This window comes from Homo sapiens, chromosome 4 (assembly GCF_000001405.40).
Source record: "Homo sapiens chromosome 4, GRCh38.p14 Primary Assembly".
Taxonomy (NCBI): domain Eukaryota; kingdom Metazoa; phylum Chordata; class Mammalia; order Primates; family Hominidae; genus Homo; species Homo sapiens.
Window position 1 is genome coordinate 100,492,684 of NC_000004.12, and position 18,801 is coordinate 100,511,484.

General features: G+C 34.1%; 1 protein-coding gene and 1 long non-coding RNA gene across 5 annotated transcripts in view; one reads left to right on the forward strand and one right to left on the reverse strand.

Moving 5' to 3' along the window:
• The window catches only part of LOC124900740 (uncharacterized), an 89,972-nt gene extending 71,313 nt beyond the window's left edge, over window positions 1-18,659 (forward strand). Inside the window, exon 2 of the long non-coding RNA XR_007058203.1 lies at window positions 18,450-18,659. This is a non-coding gene — a long non-coding RNA (uncharacterized LOC124900740). The remainder of the gene's footprint in view (window positions 1-18,449) is intronic.
• EMCN (endomucin) overlaps window positions 1-18,801 on the reverse strand; it is a 122,682-nt gene that overhangs the window by 97,343 nt on the left and 6,538 nt on the right. The window lies entirely within an intron of this gene.

Sequence of the window (18,801 nt, forward strand, 5' to 3'; positions counted from 1 at the left end):
AAGGGATCCCAATACAACTATCAACATACTTCCCAGAATATTATTCTTTAATATATATATCCAATGTCCTTTGCGAATGGAAGAGAAGACACTAAATAAATCAAAATAATTTATTACCAGAAAAAAAGCAAGGGGTGGTGTAGTGTAGGGAGTAGAAAACGCGGTCTGGGGGCCATGTTGCCCAATTTGAGTCCAGGCCCCATCACTTATCAGCTATGTGACCATATGCAAACAGCTTAACCTTTTTAGCCTCAGTTTATAATCTCATAGAAATCTACCTTATAGACTTTTTGTGCAGATCTAGAGATTAAAACATATAAAAAGTTAAGAAGTACAGCTAACATCTGGGTTACACTTGAATTTATCATGTTTATAACTCAATGATATAAAGTACATTTTAGAGTTCTACCATTAGGTTATGTTCCTTGCTAATACTGTCGCTATACAGTCAGTTAACTAGTTAATGGGGCCATCTCCAACCCATTTAGTAAGTTCAGGACACTAAAATCTTTTGAATGAAAACTTAATCTCCTCCCTAACTCATAATCTTATTCTCTGAATTTTGTCAACTTTGATGACCACTTTTCTAGAATTTATAAATTATACTTATTATTCTCTTTTTCTAATATCCTTTCACCATTCCTTCTAAGAAACTGTGATTATAGTTGTAAAACAAAAAGATTGCAGAATAGAAAAAAGAAAACTTGCAAATTGGGCTCATGTGGCGGAAGAAAGAGATTTTACCTGTTATGGTTCTGTGGGCTCCACATTAAGTGCTCTCATGCTCTAGACCTTGGGCTACTGGGAACTGCAGAGTTTACACCAGGGATCTTTGAATCCATATTCACACTAAATATTGTCTATATATGGATAAAATGATTTACCCATCTATGCTACTAATTTTAAAATCAGTAACTTCTATTCTGATTAAAAGTGTATGAAATTTTAGAAATTGCAAAATATTTAGTAGCATTTTATTTGTTTCCTCAAATGATGAATGCAATTATTATTTTACACGGGGGTTGTTTCACAACTTTTTTCCATATAAGTGAGTTATTTATATTTTAAGAGTTGGGGGACCACTCCTCTGTGGATCTTCAATTAGTATAGCAGTAGAAGTAGAGTTTATTTAAATTCACTCAAGTCTTCATATAGCATCACAGGACAAATCCATAATCTGACAGCTTTTCTTATTCATTCCCTGCAAATAGTCAGAGACTTTCTTCAAACATTGATGACTCATACTTTTTAATTAAAAACAAATAAGCAAATACCTACAGAGTAGAGGATTTATAGCTCTTTGGTTCCAGGATATACCAGTTCTAAGTGCTGGGACAAAAACATATCTTTTCCTTTTCCAAATCTGTTCCCCCAGTTTCTCCACATTGGATGTGGAAAAACTGCTCTGAACCACATGCTCAGCAAGAGGCCATCATGTATTTATCCAAGAACAAAGAAGAATTCATGATTGTCTGATTTTTGATTTTTTATACTAGCTTTTATATGGTATAGTTTCCAAATTAAAAATATTTTGAGCTATGTCATTAAGATGCCATCAAAAGAGTTACTTGTGGTGGGTTAATTAAAGTGAACACATTTAGAAATAACTCTGCATGTTGTGGGACAGATGTAGCCTTTGGAGAAGGAATGAGCCTACACTGAACATTACAACATAGTTTTGTATTTAGTAATAGGCAACAGACACAGTTTCAGAATATGCTCAAAGTCTGGTTGGGGAGTATCTGCTCTGCTGACAGTGGGAGAAATCAGGAAATTCATATTTAAAAAGAAGGAGATCAAGAAGTAAACAGCATATCTTTGCTTCTCAATCAACTCAAACTTGCTTCATTATTTAAAAGTAGTAACCTGTTGTATAACATTGGCCAACTTTAACTAGAAAAACAAACCACTCCAGAATCCCTTCTCAAATTCCAAGACACAGATGAGGACAGAAATGATAATTATCTAAGTACACATGGTCAGGTGTACCCTTGCAAGAGGCAATTTTGGAAATTTAAAAGAATGTCTAGAACTGAGAGTAAAAGAAAGAGCTGAAGATAAATGAATTTTTCTGCTGCGGAAAATAAAACAAAACTTGTTATACTTTTTTTTTTGCCCCAAGAGTATGGGTAAGAGAAGAGAAAAAAGGTCAAGAAAAAATGAAGCATCCAAAGGACTTTTAAGAACAAAAATATCTAAAACTCACCCTTTGCATTACTGTGATATAAACCTCCCATCACCTACCAAGATTTTAATTAACTGTATTTTTTTTGTCATCCATGAAGGAAGGGGAACTACATTTTGGTTGTTGCTAATGTGAATTTAAAAAAAAGTCATAAGAATCCAAAGAAATATGAGATTTGACAGATGCAGGGAGCTGGGAAGAAAAGTGAGCGTGAGAACTTAATCCTCCCTCTACCACATGGGATTTGCAGAAATTGGTGGCATTGGATTTTTGAGCATAGAATAAGTCTTCAATCTCAACATATTTTATATTAAAGGGTGGCAATACCTAGATGATATTTGAGTTACCTAATTTTTTTTTATTTCATTAAACATTGTTTACAAAGCTCAAATCAAATTTGCTGAGTCACAATAATGAGTTTGACAAGCAGAGGATAATCATAAATTTGTTCTATAACAAATTATTCCAAACAGTTTGGCTATAAATTGTTTGCTTTACAAATATGGCAGGATAATCAGAACAAATAAAATCTGAAGCTATGGAATAAGTACTTCAATGCAGCCTCAATATACTTAAATCTGAGATATCACCTGTATTAAGTAATAAAGTGTTTCCTAAATGTGAAGACTACCATTAGAACAGAGTTAACATTTGTAAACTGATTTTTCTGGTTTTGAAGACAAATTCATGCCAGAACAATTAAATTTACTTTCCTGACAGAGTAACAAGGATATAAATAGGAGAAAACCAATCGATGTAATCTCATATTATGATCAATACGTAATTTCTTTTATTGAGACCTAAGAGATATGGTGCTTTGTATAATTAAAATTTTGTTAGTTTAGAGTCATTACATAAAACATATAAGACTAATCAGTTTTCAAATAACTTTTATAGCATTAACATTTATCTGTGTATCTTTAGCTACTAATGCAGTACTTGATTTTAGGCCCTCAATAAATGTTTATTAAATGCTAAATATAAGTAAATTTATTCTTGAATAGCTAGAATCATCAAAATATTAGGATTATTCTATCATTTTAAATAGAATTACCATCTGCTAAAAGTAGAAGAGTAAAACAACTGTGTTGAATTTATATTGATTATATGATTTACTGTTGAAATTTCATATTGAAATAAAATTTCTCGGCTTAAATTTGTTTGCAGTCTGTTCACATATAATTATTATTTCTAAACACACTTTTGCTCTTTTGTGACCTCAGTAGTGTTCAATGCTGAATAAATATGGATTTATGATTTTTGTTTTTCAGATAGAGGGTCACTTTAAAATCTGGGAATATTGCCCATGTTCTTGGCATTTTTCTTATGTCTAGTGAGACTCTGTAACATTTGAAAATACTACTCTTCCTATCCTCCTGGGTGATAAAGATTGAAGTAAAATATATTTGATAAGTTCAGAAGAGTCATTTACCAACTATCAAAATGTCCTAAAAACTCTTGTCGATTTTAGCAGCCTTCTAGGGAGAAAAAAATGCTGGCAAAAGGAAATGCCAAATTTGGCTGTAGCAGCTGCCTGTGGTTTAATCTCCAGAAATGTATGTCCAAAACTTCATTCACTTTCTTAGCACCTTTATGAGTTTTTTCATATTCTTTATTATTTTCTTACTCTTTTTCTTAAAATTACTTCCCTTTAAATGATTCAATTCAATGTTCCAAAAGAAATGTTATAATACTACCACAAAAGTGGTAATAGAAATAACTACAAAAACAAATAATGTGAAAAAAGTAATTCAGCTCTAGACAGGTATCATTAACTATGATGGTTTCATGCTTGAACCTTGCTCTCTTGATGTTAAAGAGTGAACTAGTGAGTTTTAGGGCATGGTAAAAACATGAAAGCACCAAACATGTATGTTCTAAATTAAAAACCAGACGCAGATTAGAGATTTGAGTCAATGTTATTTAATTCTATGGGCATTTATGGCTAAAATTATCTTAAGTACCAGAAGTTGTACCCTATTACACAAACTGGAAATATTGCTCTAGATAAAGCTTTTTAAGGTCTCCAAATCAGTCATGAAGGATTTTGTAATGCACCATATGATAGCTTCTCCATATGACAGAAAGTGAGTCCCATTCCATTTTCTCTCTTTCCTTTTTTTTTTCTCATATTAGCATGCCTTAAGAACTGTATTAGCATGCTTTGAGAAATAAAGTCAGGGAAGCCCAAATTTCAGTATTGCTTTAGGGACTGATAATATAGGTAGAAACTAAGGGCCATGTAGTTGATTAAAAACCGCTTTATGTCTAAAGTCCCTATGACAAGAAAAAATTATATATAAAAAAGGAAGTATAAGACCTACAATAATCTAGCTAGACTTGAGTAAGGCTTTTGATTTTTGTCTCTTGTTACTATTAAAAAAAAAAAAAAAAACTAGATTAACCTATGAGCCAGTAAGTAGCAAAGTCAATCTAAAGAAGATTTAGTACAGCATTGCAAAGGAATATGAACTTTACAGTTTAAAAAGTAATGCAAATCAAGTTTGTTTGTTTGTTTTTTTTTTTGAGACGGAGTCTCGCCCTGTCGCCCAGGCTGGAGTGCAGTAGCCCAATCTCGGCTCACTGCAAGCTCCGCCTCCCAGGTTCATGCCATTCTCCTGCTTCAGCCTCCTGAGTAGTTGGGACTACAGGCACCCACCACCACGCCTGGCTAATTTTTTTGTATTTTTAGTAAAGCCGGGTTTCACCGTGTTAGCCAGGATGGTCTCGATCTCCTGACCTCATGATCCGCCTGCCTCAGCCTCCCAAAGTTCTGGGATTACAGGCGTGAGCCACCGCTCCAGGCCCAAATCAAGTTTTTAAAGAAGAGCAAGTTGAACTTCATTTTTAAGGTCTTGGATAATACTAAGGAAAATGACAATATAAAAATAATTTGAGAAATTATTGCTCATGTATAGGATAAAGTTCAGAAGAAAAAATATAAAGTAAAAAACAAAAGAGCAAAAAAGATACATAAAAATTTAGTAAAATAGTATAGGAGTAAATGCATCAGGAAAGATGTAAAACCAAAGGAACCCTAAGTAGGAAATGAGTCATTAATATGGTATTTTATTTTAAAATCTTATTTTCAAATGGTACTAGAGTGATGAGATCATGATATTTAAGTATTAAGAGATAACTATTGCTGTTTTTTTCAATAGTGGTTGGATTCTTATTACAGCAGGAATTCAGTTTTTGTGAATTTTAAACAAGAGCAAAGTTGTCAAAGAAGAGAAACTAATGTGAGTAAAGATGTAAATTGGATTCCAAAAGGAGAAGGAAAGGAGTTGGAATGATTTACTGTTTAGTCTGAAGAAACAATGTCTGAAATGAAATTTAATACCAACCAAATTTACACATCTATATCATTTGCCTATCTTAATTTTCCAATCTGTAAATGAAAGTAAAAAGAATTTCAGCCTAAAATTTGTTTCGCTAGATGAAAAAAAGTATTTATTTTCCTAATATTAGGAGAAAATAAATAGGCAAATCTAGTTCATGAACAAAGTAACTCTCTTGGAGACATGTCAAGGAATGTAAATTATAATTATAAGCTAAATCAATTAGTAAAATATCTCTGTCATGAAAGTAACATGATACTTTCCATAATTACAGTGTATCACTTTTTTTTTTTTTAGACGGAGTCTCGCTCTGTCACCCAGGAGTGCAGTGGCACAATCTCAGCTCACTGCAACCTCCACCTCCTGGGTTCAAGCGATTCTCCTGCCTCAGCCTCTTGAGTAGCTGGGATTACAGGCGCCCACCACCATGCCCAGCTGGCCAGGCTGGTCTTGAACTCCTGACCTCAGGTGATCCACCCACCTCGGCCTCCCAAAGTGCTGGGAGTACAGGCGTGAGCCACCGTGCCCGGCCTATGCATAACAATTATTAAACTCTACATTTAAACATTTAATGAATCTTTTTCATTCATTTAACACAGATAATTACAGAATGCCTATATGTACCAGGGCTGTGCTAGGTGATGATATAAACATTAATTATTTATTTTCCTTATCAATTCAAATAATTTACTTACATATCTTATTTTCATTATACTACTATTTAGTATGCTTTGCAGGTATGTTCTTAGAGCTATTAAATGTATTCTTTAAAAAATATCCTCAAGTGTACATTTTGTTTGCAGAAAAGATTTTTTCAGTGGTTAATTAGGCTTTAGAAGTTAATGTTCCATTTTTTTTTAAGTTACAGAATAAAAAAATCTATTTATCTTGTAAGATTTTAAGTTTAATTTACAAATGTGATTATTCCATTTACTAATGTAGTGAATGCAGTCATCATTCTAGGGATCCTTTAGCATTTAATCCCATTTATATATTTTGTTAAGTAAACTCCCTTAAGTATTCAAAACTCTATTATTAATTGAAAATAGTTAACATTTACCACTTTGACTGCTTTTAAGTGTTTTGTAGAACTAACGTATGTAAAAGTATTTTGTAAACTTTCAATTAAATACACAAATATGGCAATATTAGTATTACATTATAATGTCAGATGTGTTACCACATTGAAATGATTCATCAAAGAACAAACTTCATGGCTTTGCTCATAAGTGCTTTAACAATTGATTAGTTTTTAAGATGTTTACATTTTTTAATTACCTTTTCTGCCCTGAATTAGATGGGATTTGAGGAAAATCAAACTTAAGTGAATTAAAGTCTTCAGAAGAATTCAAACATTTCTCCAACTAATAATAGTCTATCTTAAGCACCAAGAAGCATTGTAAGCAAGCTTCAGTTTGGGCTTCAGAAGACAGCCTCGTGACAAACCTTTTGTCCTAGCCTTGTGACAAGGACCCCATGCAGAACAAGGATTTTGAAGTGTGCAGTTAGCCACAAATCCTTGGGGTCAGTTTTCAATTTAGTGGCACAACAGATAAATCAATTAGTGTATAACTAATTAAAGATGGTGAATACCTTTAACTGCTAAAATAATTTGAGGCAGTCACATCTTACAGAAAGCTATCTCCCTACAAAATGACAAGCCTAAGCAAGCCTTACAAGTGAGGCTTTGAACCCTAAATAGGTAAGGTTTAATGAGAAACTGAAATTCAGAATAGCAGAGTATCATTGAGAGCAATTGATAATAGCTAAATTAAAGCTTAAAAGTGTAAAGTATATCTTTTTTGTTCATAGGGGATTTGTTCTAGAGATGTGGGGAAATGGAAAATCCTCAAATAGTGTACAAAGAATAATGATAATACAGATTTATTTGTAAAAAAAAGAGTTTGTTATTGTCACAAAACACATCAGAGGCTGCTGACATTTCTCTCCATGGTTTTCCTGATATTTCTTAAGATTTTTGAATTAAATACATTCAGTCTCTTTTAAGTAGTAATCATTCTTAAGACCTTGAAGGATCTTATCATCTTTCCCCAATAAGACTTTTAATAGATTCCCTGCTTCAATTTAAAATTCTTAAACTCAAAATCTGAGTTTTATTTATTTCTGCCTAATGTTTGTGACAACTATAAAAGCTAACAGACCAAAACATGACAAAATATAAATGTAAACATAATGAATAAATCTTAGCGAAAACCTGGTGTAATCATTACCCAGATTAAAAAATAGAATATTACCAGCAGTGTAAAATCTCCTTGGGACTGTAAACGTATCAGTTATATCCCTCTTCCACTACTCTAGAGGTAACTGCTAATCTGATTTATGGTAATCATTCTTAGCCTTTCTTTATAGAACTACTCTCTATGTGTACATGTGAATATAATATAGTTTAGATTTCAGTGTTTTAATTTTATGTAAATGGCAACATATTGAGGCATTGTGTTTTGCCCAGTATATTTTAATTTTTTTCATTTTATTGATTATAGCTATAGTCATTGTCACTGGTATATACAATACATTGAACAAATAAAGCATAATTTACATATTTATTTTGCAATTGATAGACATTTGAGCTGTCACTAATTTTGAGCTATTCTCAAAAGTTCTGCTAAAAACATATTTTTATTTCTATTATTGCATAAAAGGAAAGTACTTACTTAAGTCAGCCAAATTTTTTGACTGGGTTGTTTTTATTTTTCTTACTGATTTGTAGTTTTTTTTCTATATTAAGATGAGTCATTTTTTGGTCAGTTATATATACACAGCAAATATTTTCTCCCATTTTGTGGCTGTATTTTCAATTTTGCCACTGCATCTTCTGATAAATAGAATAATTAATTCCAATGCAATGAAATGTATGTCTTTTCTTTTATGGTTAGTGCTTTTTTGTGTGTTTTCCTGAAATAAGGTTATAAAGCTATTCTCCTATTTTTTGTAAAGTTTTAAAGATTTCCATTCCATATTTAAGTCAATGGTTCATCTGGAATTAGCTTTCATATGTAGTGCTATGTAAGAGTCTAATTTATTTTTTTCCACTGGCTACCCAATGGTACCAGCAGCATTTATTGAAAAGATCAATCATTACTCACTGCTCCGTTATACCATCTTTGTTTTATATCAAAGACCTATATATCTGTAAGTCAGTTTCAGAGCTCTCTATTCTTTTCTATTCATCTATGTGGCATCAATGTGACTACCACTTGATTTGTCTACCTTGCACCAATTTGACTGTTCTAATTACTGTATCTTTGTTATGGGACTCTATAAATGGTAGAGTTATGTTATCCTTTCCTGTTTTTCTTCTTTAAAAATTACTAAGGATTTCTTGGTTTTGTGCAGTTTTATACAAAATTATAAAAAGCTTCTTGTATTCCACATACTGGATTGCCCAGTCAATCCAGTTTTCTTTATTTCAAGTTTTCTTTAACTTTTCAATAAAGTGTTATAATTATTCTCATACAAATAATGCACATCTTTTATTATAATTATTTGTAGGTGCTTTTTTATGTTTCCGTAAATGGCATATTGCTACATTTTCTTTTTAATTATTTGTTGCATCAATAGAAATACAATTGATTTCATAAACTTTATATACAGAGACCCTGATAAACTCTTTAATTCTAGTGGGTTTTTTTTTTTGATAAGTTCTCATAAATACTGTACTTAAACAATCATGTTTACATGGTGTCATTTGTTTGGGGAAATACCCGAGGTTCGTCATCTAGTGCTAAGGAAATTGAAGATGCAGCACACAAGGAGTGGGGTTAAAAGTAGAAAATTTAATAGGCGAAAGAAAGAAGAGAAAAGCTCCCCCACGTAAAGGAAGTGAGGTTCCAAAAAGGTCTTCCTTTTCATGGCAGGATGCAGTGGGCTTAATAGAGGGGCTTGAGGAAGTGGTGTCTGATTTATATAGAACGTAGTGGATTGGTTGGACTAGATGTAACATTTACATAGCTCACGAAGAGCCTGGCTGTCCCACCCTAATTTCTTATTATGCAAATGGGATCTTTACCTGGCTGGGGCCATGTTACCTGCACATGTGGCAAGAAAGAAAAGGGAAGACAAAACCTCCATGTTGAATATACCTGGCTTCCAGATATCCCTTTTTTATTGGTACAATTGCAGGCATTTACCTATGCAAGCTTGCATATCTATGCTTGTGGCTTGATTTTTCAGGCCGCCCTAGAAAAAAAATGATTTGGGGGCTGCTTTTAATTAAAGGAAATTCCACCAAGAAATCTTTTATGCTCATTAACTGCCTAAACAATTTCTTTTTAACTCCTATATCAATGTCCTATAACATCTACAAATAATATCAATTTTGATTTTTTCTTTCCAATTCTTAATATATTCATTTTTCATGTTTTACAGCATTAGCTAGGATATTTTGTACAAAGTTTTATAAAAGTAGAATTGTTGGGCAAGATTGTCTTATTGTTATTCTCACAAAATGCTAACATTTTACTATTATTCACGATGATTGCTACAGTTTTTGAAGCTGCTCTATTAGATTAGGAAAATCCTCTTATTGTTTTAGTTTTCTAAGCATTTTTATCAGCAATAAATATTAAATGTGCAGAAGTGTTTTTTCTGCTTCAATGAGATTATCATATATTTTCTCTTTATTTTTCCATGTAATGAATTATGTCAATTGATTTTCTAGTGTAAAACCAACTTCACATTGATAATATAATCTCAATTTGATATAATAAAAGTATCATTTTAAACATTTTGCTGGCTTTTAAAAAATCTTTTTTCATAATGGGATTGGTCTATACCATTTTTCTTTTATAATATTGTTGTCAGGTTTTGGTTTCAACAATAAGCTAACTTTGTAACATAAGTTGGAAAATAAAACTTCTATTTTTATTCTCTAGAAGAGCTTATATAAAAGTGAATTTATTTATTAAATAAAATAAAATTTTGTATAACTTCCATGTGACACCTACTGGGCTGGAAATTTTTTGTGTGAGAAGATTATTAATGGCTGATTTAATTTCTTTTACAATTTAAGGCCTACCGAAGTTTTGTATTTCTGCTTGTGTCAGTTTTGATAGGCTATAGTTTTTAGAAATTTATTTACTTTACATAAATTTTTGGCATAAGGCTTTGGCATAAGGCAAAATTATTGGCATAAGGCTTTTCATAATATCTATTTATTATACTTATATTTTGGCACAATTTGCAGTAGTATTTCCTTTTTCATTTCTATTCACTTGTTTCTGCTCTCTTGATTAGTATCAGCAGAGGATTACCAACCTTATCATTACACATGGGTGTTCTTTGCACTATGTATTTCTTTTCCATTTCATTAGTTTTGCTTTTATTTTTATTATTTTCACCAATCTACTTTTTTATTTTTTAGTTCTAAGACAGGGTTTTGCTCTGTCACCCAGGCTGGAGTGCAGTGGCGTGATCATGGTTCATTGCAGCCTTGACCTCCTGGGCTCAAGCAATCTTACCACCTCAGGAAGCTGGGGTGGTATGTGCTACCATACCTGGCTTACTTTTGTATTCTTTTGTAGAGACAGGATTTTGCCATATTATCCAGGCTGGGAAAGATACAGATATTTTATTTTCCTAATTATAATATTGATTTATTATCTAATTATATTAAACCCAGAGAAAATACACATTCAGATCTTTAGTTATTTTCAAAGGAAATGTTAGTGCAAGATATCAAGCACAATATGTGAATACTAAAGTTTTAACCAGATATCTAGATATGTTAAATTACAAGAAGATGGGAAAAATAACCATATGCAAATTTTCAAGTAAAATATCTATAATCTGTTTGATAAACCCTGTAAACCCTTTACCTATTCCATGACGTAAACAAAATCAAAGTATGTGTGCAGAGAGAGAGAGAATTATTTGAGAAGAGGATGTCTTTGTAGAATATTGTTTCTGAATCCCATTCCCACCTCTTCCATCCCCAAGGAGAAGGGCTTGTCTGCTCCCTCAATTCAAACCTACTTTAATATGTGATCCTTACAGTTGGAAGGCATAACGGCCTAGGATCTGACTCACTCCTGGGAAATCTAGAGAATTAAAGATAGCCGATAGCTGCCTAAATGCCTTGATGTAGGATCGGGAGAGTTGTTAACCATGTTGAGAATAAGCCTTGTGGGCGGCAAGCCATCCAGGCGCTGAGGCAAGAGACCGAGGGCACGAACTTTTTCAGTATAATAAAATATATAAAACAACAAGAATTACACTAGATCTAGATCATAGACATGATTATATATGAATGTCATTAATCATTAGTTTGTAGCAATTACTCTTTATTCCAATATTATAATAATCCTCGCTCTATAATCATAACCTAGGGAAAACCAGGCCATACAGAGATAGGAGCTGAAGGGAGATAGTGAGAAGTGACCAGAAGACAAGAGTGTGAGCCTTCTGTTATGCCCGGACAGGGCCACCGGAGGGCTCCTTGGTCTAGCGGTGACGCCAGCGTCTGGGAAGACGCCTTTTGCCAAGCGGACCACGGTCTAGCGGTAGAGTCAGTGCCAAGGAAAAACACCCGCTACTTAGCAGACTGAGAAAGGGAATCTCCCTTTTCCTGGGGGAGTTTAGAGAAGACCCTACTCCTCCACCTCTTGTGGAGGGCCTGACTGATGTCAGGCCTGCCTGCAGTTATCCAGAGGCCTAACCATCTCCCTGTGATGCTGTGCTTCAGTGGTCACACTCCTAGTCTGCTTTCATGTTCCATCCTATACACCTGGCTCTCCCTTTTAGATAGCAGTAGCAAAATTGGTGAAAGTACTAAAAGTCTCTGATATGCAGAAATAATGGCATAAGCTGTCTCTCTCTCTTTCTCTGCTTCGGCTGCCAGGCAGGGAAGGGCCCCCTGTCCAGTGGACATGTGACCCACATGACCTTACCTATCATTGGAGATGGCTCACACTCCTTACCCTGCCCCTTTGTCTTGTATCCAGTAAATATCAGTGCAGCCTGGCATTCGGGGCCACTACTGGTCTCCGCGTCTTGGTGGTAGTGGTCCCCGGGCCCAGCTGTCTTTTCTTTTATCTCTTTGTCTTGTGTCTTTATTTCTACAATCTCTCATCTCCACACACGGGGAGAAAAACTCACTGACCCTGTGGGGCTGGACCCTACAAAGCCTGCACTGCTTGATGTTGCCAGGGAAAGAGGTATTGGACTGTTTCCTGTGGGCCAAATAAAAGGGAGAGAGAATGAGAGTGTGGGCTTAGGGTTATCCTGAATTCCATTCCTTAGCTCTGTCTGGAGAACTGGGAACATGAGGAAGCTCTCGGTTAACAAGGATGACCAGTGCTTTGGAAGGGGTAACCAGTGAACTCCCAGAATAGGGATTCACCCACATGAGGCAAGGAACTACAGAGGAGAGAGGCTGAAAAGTGCACTTTTGAGGAACCCTTGAAAATACACCATTCAGCAGTTGGGCTTTAACTATCTCCCAGACTGTGAGCACAGCTTACGGCGCCACATCAAGTAATGTCTTTCATTCATCCTCTCACTCCTCCCTTACTCTGCTCCCAGTACAGTTGGTCAGAAAGGAGCTTGAGAGAGGAAGCAGAAAAATAGAGACCTCTAAAAAAAGCCACTTTGTAGAATCCTACTCCACACTGGCATGACCTACAAGAGAGAAATTTTAATTATAATTTTGGATTATGTATTCTAATTTCTAATTGATACACTCTGAAAATTTAGTTGTCCACAAAACTGTCCATTTCTTAAAGGTGAGCAAAAAAGCCATAGGTTTCCAATAGTTTCATCAAAGATGAAAAGTTTATATTCACCAAATCAATATTAAAGAGATAGTGGGAAACAAAAATAAAATAGAATTTTAACTACATTTTATGATTTGTGGTTTCTATGTTTTTTAAATCATTTTCTAAGTTTTATGCTTTCCTAAGACTATGAAACAAGAGTGGTAATCACTGCTAAGTTAATTATTTATAGTAACATTTTAATAAAAGCAATCATCTTTATGAAAAATGGAAAGATTTGGCACCTAGAATGTGTCTTTAAAATTCTGAGATTGAGCTGGCAAGCCTAGTTAATTGTAGAAAAAGGCCCCCAGAACCCTATCTTTTCGATATCCATTGAGTCACCACAAACATGGTGACAGCTTTGCAAATCGTATGCCTAATGCTTAGACAAAACCCTACAGCTACTATGAAATAGGTGATGAGATTAACCCAAATGCCCATGGGTCATGCAGAGAGGTAAAAGAGGATAAGGTAGGGTTTAAATGCATATATGTTTGTAGAAAAAAGGGGCATTTCTCAATTTAAAGGGGTGCTTATTACTCAGATCTAACTGAATAATATCATGAGGGGATATGAAGTCCAATTTGTCAAAAAAAAAACCCTGAAAATACAACTTTATTTCTTTTATTGTTGTTATTGTTGTTTTGCAAAATTTCCTTATTTTAAAATATTTGTAAATATTTATATGGTCATAAAACACACCTGGTATGTTACATGTTTAGTGTGGCCAAACAACACAGACATTCAAGTTAGAGGTTAAGGGTTGCTAGCTTGTAAATTCTGGAAGATAGACTGCTAAATTCTTCTTGTAAGTTATCCTAATTCATTAAGTAACGGTAAGCTAATGAACCAGTTGACAAATTTCAGTCTGTTGTTTTTTGATACTAGAAGTGTGACTACCCTTCTAGCCTAGATTCATAATATCATAGCTTCTGCATTTTTTTCATGCTCACAAATGCTAGTAATTTAATCCTCTATATATTCTTAAACTCTTCTTACAGTTAACAGTTCTCTGGGAACCAGAAATATTTGTGTTTGGATTATCTAATGCATCTTGATCCCACTTGAAACTTTGAAGGGAATACCATAGTTGTTTCTCTAATAAAACTATTTTTAAATGTGGCTAAATTTCTTGAGTACCCTATAGGATAGAGGCCCAGGATCATTCAATGTTAATGAAAACATGAGGGACTTTAATAGTAGAAGTGAAAGCAATTGATATGATTTTATAATGATTAGGAGATGAAGGGCGCCTCTTTGCGAGGAGATTGTCAAACAAAGCTGGAATTTAAGCCTGTATGCCTAGTGAGATTTCAGCACTTTGACTAATATTTGTATTAACCAAATCTGTCCTTGGCCAAATTTATCTTAAACTAGTACAAGCAAAAAATAATAATAATAATTTAGATTAAATTTATACCAATATTTTCCCTGAAAGCCCTAGACTCTAACACTTTCCTAGAAAGGTAAACATCTCTGCTTACCTTGTGGGTATGGGACAGTGAAAAGAGCACACTGCACATTGAGTGGATGGAGGGAAGAAGGATTGGCAAGAGCTTTAATGGCAAGAAGGAAGAACTCCACTGGGTACTGGCCTTGTAAGAGTGGCTAGAGGGCCTGTGCAGAATACTCTTCCCAAATCCTTAGACCAATTAATGAGTTTCCCCATCTCCTCTTCCCAGCTTCCCAGCTGTCTTAGACAGTTTCTGTCTTTCTCCCAGCATCTGTCATTTCCTCAATCTCTTTTAACCTCATTTTTATTCTCAATCTTTTTTCCGGATGTTGGTTTCTGTCCCCACCCTCTCTCCAAGTCTTTTTTCTAGCCCCACGCCTAACAAATATCTCCCATTTGCATAAAAATGAGACCACATGGAAAAATGAAAAACATGTTTTTTTGTTGATGTGTACTATGAGAAATAACTCTCATGACAGAGAATTGGCCTTTTACATGCAAAGTGGACACTTTCTAACATCCCTAACTGAAAAATCTCTAAAGGAAGTAAACATTAGGGAATAGAATAAAACATCTTGCTGCAGAAGAAGCGTATCTAGTGATAACAGGATGAAAATGAAGCAAGATAACTTCAGGCAAAATGTATAAGAATTGTTTGTTACACAAAGGTTATGGAACTGTAGATCTGGAAGAAATCTTTCATATCACTTGATTAAACCACACTCATTTTATAGACATGAAAATTAAAGCCTTGAGAGGTTAAAAATTTTGCCTGCCTCAGTCACACAGCAAGCATGTGGCCCCTGGTAACTAACCCAAGTGCTCTTGGCTCAAAGGTTCAGTGTACTCTTCACCACTTCAGTATGCTGGCTTGTCACACCAGTCAGGGCTCAATGGGAAAAATATAAGAAAGTTGTTATATTGCCAAATATATTCTTTTTTTTAGTGAAAGTACCCTTTCTTTTATGTAATATTCTAATGAATAGCATATGTATTATGGGGAAAGGATTCTGTATTTAACAAAGAACAAGGTGGTTTATCTCATGTCAATTGCACAAAGGGCGTTTGGATTATTTACTGATCTAGGAACAACTGAATTATGTGGTGCTTTTGCTTCTGCACAAGATTAGGATAAAGTTAATTACTCAACATACTGAATTAAGACTTCAGAGTTGGAAAGGCAAACTATGTAATCAAAGTGCCTTTACAATTGAATTTTCATAATTTTACAGTCTATCCTAGTGGGGGTGGGGACTAATCTGATCTAAATGGTTCAGAATTACCTGATGAATTACAGACCACTAATTTTTGTATATGTGAGCAAGTAATAGGAATGACTTGGCACTTGTGTTCAGATATTCATGACACTCTGGTATGATTTGAACAGTCACTATAATTCAAAGTTAAGTATTTTCTGCTATTTATACAATAGTAAGAGGGTAGGTCAACTTCATAAAGCAAATCAAATAAGTTTAGCCAACCAAACGAGTATTCCAAAATACACTTACTGCTTCCGCTCTACAGAGGCCAGGGATAAAAATAAATATTGCCCTCAAGTAACTGAAAACAAATCTAGGAATGCCTTGGGTATTTTCAACTCTTCTGACTTTTGAAGAAACAGAATTCTCCAAATTAAAGCAAGGGCTAGCTACGAAATATCACCTATGTGCCCAAAAATAGGTCTTGGGAAACACACACAAAAATAGTCACTTAGAAATTGTCCTTGCTTCCTATATACAGTTAAGTTGTAACAAAACCTAATAATAGATGTCTAAATGATTTTTTCTTCTCCTTTGTATACCTTAAGAATTTTAAACTTTAATTGATATAAAACTTGTACCCAACAAATGAGGCTGTCAAAAAATGAAAAGGAAAGAGAAAAAATAAAAAGTTCACTGATCACATCATTTAATTATTCTAATCCCAATAATGCAATTAGTTAATAAATCTTTAAGTTAGTTCACTCTGTGCATTTAAAAAAGGTGAGTCCCACTTTTAAAAACTGGGTTTGCAGAGAGAGATAATTGGAGAATTCTCATGGTTGTTTAGAGTTGTCACAATGGCTTTGAGCTCATTAATGTAGGAGTGGCCTTTGTATCCTGGGGAGAGTGCCCAAGAACTCAACGCTTATGTTCTCACACTTGCTGAACACCCTAGGAGGGCGATTTCACAGTTCATACCACAAAAAAGTATTTCTTTTCCCACTTCAGTTAAAAATAAATTCAATGTGTGATACAAATGGTTTTCCGTGTTTTGTGTGTGTGATTTTTATAACTGAAGCATTATTTCAACACATGGCCATTTGGATGTGAACAGCCATAAAAATTATGTAAAGGTATTATGGCTAAAATAGAAATGATACAATGGCAGTTAAAGGCCCAACTAGTAAGGGAAAATTCTGAAATTTATGGAACGGTTTCCTATTTCTCTCTTGATTCTGTGAGTTAATGTTAACTTATACAATAATAGCTAATGTTTTAGTAATTTATGATGTGCACAGTATCTAAAATGGGTATTCCCATTGTCATGTAACACCAATACCATGTCAATATGTATCTTTCTTCTCATTTTTTACATGCAGAAACTGGGATTAAGAAAGATTTAATGTCTGGGCCAATTTGAACATACTTAGAAGCTAGACTCAAACTTAAGTTTTCACATTAATACCGTGTTTCCTTCCACTAACATATTCAACCTCTCAGATTAAGCAACACTCAATACTTTATGAGAGTAGTAACAATATTTGAGGATGTTGACTATTTTCAGACTAAAAAGAGTTTTAATTAAATACAAACACAATTTTGCTTATTAATTTGAGTGATTAGTTTATAGATGAAGGTAAATAACATAAATCTGAAAGATATTTGAGAAAATACACCTGTTTGCATATAATGTATAAAATTGTGCCTGCATATATTGTAATTAAAATATTACTTGGCAGTCATCTTACAACAGTTCTATTGTGAAAAATTTTCAGATGCTCATTTTTCACTTTGCGAGAATTAACATTGTAATTGTTTAAATATTTTCTGCTTCTGGATTGGAATCAACTTAGAAATAAAATATTTCATCTACGGTGCAGGATATGAGTTCCATTAACTCAGCAAAACTTTATATAACATTTATCTCATATCAGACGCTATTCTGGGTGCTTTCTGCATATTACCTTGTGTGATTCTTCCAATATCCCTATGAGGTAATTCCTTGTAGAGATATTGCAAGAACCACATAAGGCAATCATCTCCATTTTACAGCTGAGGAAGCCAAAAGTTGAGTAACTTGTCCAAGTTTATACAGCTAGTAAGTGGCAGAGCTGGAACTTGAACTCAGACAATCTGTCTCCAGAAGCATTATAAACGTGACACCAAGTGATTAATTCACTGATAGCTATTTCCTCTTTGTTTCTTTCCTTCTTCTCCAAGTCCCATATTAGCTTCACTGACATTTATAGCCAAGTACATGTTTTTTTCAACAAACATAACAATGACTGGTAGGCAAATGCCTACAACTCCTTCCAACCCATCCCCTAAGAATTAATTGAATCCAGAATATTAAGAAAACATTATTGCTAGGTAAAAATTCATTTATGGCATTATAGTCTTAGTTGTCAGTTTAGAAGGCTGAAGTTGCTGTGAGGCGGAGTAGTGACTTCTAAATTACTCGAGCGGTAAGTCTTTATCCTTATTCTTTTTCAGAAAACTCAACTTACTGAAGTGTCACTACATCAGAAGGTAGCTGAAGAGCAACAGTCCTTGCTTTGATTTTAAGCCACACCAGCCTTGTGTAACTTTATACTATTTCCAAGCATCTGTTTCTTAATCAGTAAGATGGGATAAAGCTGGCCTTGAAATTTGTGATGGAAGTAATGTGTGTAAAGTGCCTGGCACAATAAATGGTAGATGTTAGTAGATGTTGTGACAATACTTCTTTGGGTTAACTTGGACCGTTCCCAACTGTGATCTCCATTCTCTAGTCTTTGACACAACTAATACAGGTTTCAGCTAGAGTATGACTGATTCAATGGATTTAAAAAAACAGTTCACATTT